General features: G+C 48.4%; 1 annotated feature.

Annotated features, from left to right (window-relative positions):
• Positions 2,696 to 2,896: a silencer, noted in NCBI's record as "peak4214 fragment used in MPRA reporter construct". NCBI's record gives its function as "represses an SCP1 promoter by STARR-seq MPRAs in K562 erythroleukemia cells {active_cell/tissue: K562}" and the evidence as "EXISTENCE:reporter gene assay evidence [ECO:0000049][PMID:32103011]".

Here is a 3,132-nt window from a genome sequence, read left to right as displayed (position 1 = left end):
CTTAGACAAGAAGGGCTATGTGTCCTAAAATCCACATCTCCTCCAGATGAACACTTGAGGCTCCTTATCCCCATCTTACTTCATTTTACATTTTATTTTATTGCCAATCCTTGTGTCCTACCCCCACCCCCACAGGCAACACTTGCGATGCACATCTTGTTTGTACATATTTTTGCAATCGTATTGGTTTTGTGTGCATGTAGTTTTAGTCTCCGTGAACAGGACTATCACATCAGTTTCTTTTTTTTTTTCTTTCTTTTTTTTTTTTTTTTTTTGAGACAGACTCTCGCCCTGTCGCCAGGCTGGAGTGCAGTGGCACGATCTTGGCTCACTGCAACCTCAGCCTCCCAGGTTCAAGTGATTCTCCTGCCTCAGCCTCCCGCGTAGCTGGGACTACAGGTGCACACCACCACATCCAGCTAGTTTTTGTACTTTTAGTAGAGACAGGGTTTCACCATGTTGGCCAGGATGGTCTCAATCTCTTGACCTTGTGATTTGCCCACCTCGGCCTCCCAAAGTGCTGGGATTACAGCAGTTTCTTAATTCTTCCACTCAGCTATTTCTCAGGTCTGTGTTCTATGAACCTGCTCTGTACTGATCCACAGTGTCATCCAATACATTGTCCCTGCACACCTCCCAGGGATGGACATTAGTCCCCACCCCATCCATCACACCAGTAAGCATCCTTACATGTGTCTCCTAAGGACCCGGGTGAGAATTTTGTTGGGAACACACCCCCAGAAGCAGAGTTTCTGGGCTGTGGGGCAGGAACACACATGAGTAGTCCCAGGTGGCTCTCCAGGACTGCCGTACCAGCTGCGCACAGAGGCCGCCGCATCTCCATCCGCCACCTTTCCACTGTGTTGCTAATCTCATTGGTGCAGAGTGATGTCTAATTGTTGCTTTAGCTTGTGTTTTCCTGATGACTAACTTTGAATATCTCTTCAGTGGTTTGGTGGAGTGTTGGGTCTGCCCCTATACATTGCCTTCCATTCCCTGTGCCCATTTTTTTCTGCTGGAGTTGTCTTTTCACTGGTGATTTATAGGAGCTCCTTGTACATTCCTGACATTTAATCCTTTGTTTGGAATACCTTCCCCCAGCTCCCACACCTACAGGTAGGCCTTTTGCCAACCACTAAAGCAAATTAAGCATAATAAGAAATGAAGAGGCCGGGTGCGGTGGCTCACGCCTGTAATCCCAGCACTTTGGGAGGCCAAGGCGGGCGGATCACGAGGTCAGGAGATCAAGACCACGGTGAAACCCCATCTCTACTAAAAAATACAAAACATTAGGCAGGCACGGTGGCGGGTGCCTGTAGTCCCAGCTACTCAGGAGGCTGAGGCAGGAGAATGGCGTGAACCCGGGAGGCGGAGCTTGCAGTGAGCCCAGATCATGCCACTGCACTCCAGCCTGGGCAACAGAGCGAGACTCTGTCTCAAAAAAAAAAAAAAAAAAAGAAATGAAGAGAAGGGGGGCAAAGGAAGTAAAATAAAATGGGAAGTCAACTGTTGAGTTTTAAACTAATACACTAAAGTAGAAGATGAAAATCACAGAAAAGGCCAGACACAGTGGCTCACACCTGTAATCCCAGCACTTTGGGAGGCCGAGGTAGGTGGATCACTAGAGCTCAGGAGTTCGAGACCAGCCTGTGCAACATTAAGAAACCCCGTCTTTACTAGCTACCGGGGAGGCTGAGATGGGAGGATCACTTGAGCCCAGGAGGCCGAGGCAGCAGTGAGCCCATATTGCACCACTGCACTCCAGCCTGGGTGACAGAGCGAGACTCTGTATCAAAACAAAACAAAAAGAAACAAAAGAAGATCACAGAAGAAAATATTTATAGAACCACGACAACAAATGTCCAAAATAATAGTTAGACAAACAAGCAGAGTACAAAAAAGACCAAGACGTTAACATAAATGTCGAGGAAAAAATACTTTTGAAGAGCATTAAAAATAAACACGACTGCATTCTTTTTAAAACTTCGCAGTAAAAAGGAAAATAATGCAGAGGTCAGAGAGGTGGAGATTAAAGGGGTGAGGCATACCCATGAGGAAAAACAAAAAAACAACAGCAAAGGGAAAACACAGGGACAGCAGACACCAAGCAAACTGAAGACCGCACTTGAAAACAGAACAAGCCTAAAATGCGGGGAAGAAAAGCAACCAGAGAACGAGGCTAAAATAAACAGCCTGAGGGTGAGCTGGTAAGGCCTTATCAGCCAGCTCCTGCTCTCCTGGGGTCCAGGGCGATGTAGAGGCTGATGGCAGTGGTGGGGACGCAGAAAGGAACTCAGGCGACCTTTGGGTCCTATATGGGTCCGCCCATCAGGCTGAGGCCAGCAAAGAACCTGGCTAGGACGTTCATACTTGGAGCCACTGATGAGGCCATGGTCAAGAAGCCATGGGCAGTAGCCTGTGCTGGTCGTTCACCTGGCTATGGAGATCCTGGGGTATTAAATCCTGTGCCTGCACCACCCCTCCCTTGTGAACCTCCCAGCCTCCCTAGCCTGCTCATTGCCTTCAGGAGAACCCACAAGTGGGAGCGGTGGCCATGTGTGCCAGAGGGCCTGGGGGAACGCTGCGCTGGGAATCTCTTTGGCCGCACTTAAGCAGGCAAGGAGACGCCCTGTTCCAGCAAGTCCAATGCCACCCAAGAGTGCAAAAGGGAACACTGCCAGGATTCACCAGAGACGTCAACGTGTCATCCTTGCTTGCTGGAGGGAGCAATGACTGTGAGGACCCAGGGACAAGCCCTCTCCAGACCGTCTGCCACGCAAATTCCACCTGGTCATCCACAGTAGCCAGCTGTTTGTGCAATTATTTGATTGGCTATTTCCAGTTCCAATGACTCAGAAAAAAAGAAAAAAAAAAACAGATTAAACTGACAAGAAATCCAGAGTTCCATCATCCTGTTTCATCACAAATTAGAAGGCTGAGGAGAAAATTCAGATGAATCATTGGAGAGTGGAAAATACCTGATCTTATCTTGAGGTGAAAAAGGGATATGGGGCTGAGACTTGCCAACTCGAATTCTTCCAGGGGATAGAAATGTCCTCCAGCGGCGCCAAAGTTCACTTGAAACCCAGGTGGGTGCTTGGCAGTTCAGATCCACTTCCCAGAATGATGATC

Source organism: Homo sapiens, chromosome 20 (assembly GCF_000001405.40).
Source record: "Homo sapiens chromosome 20, GRCh38.p14 Primary Assembly".
NCBI lineage: Eukaryota > Metazoa > Chordata > Mammalia > Primates > Hominidae > Homo > Homo sapiens.
This window is presented reverse-complemented; position numbering and strand designations above follow the sequence as displayed.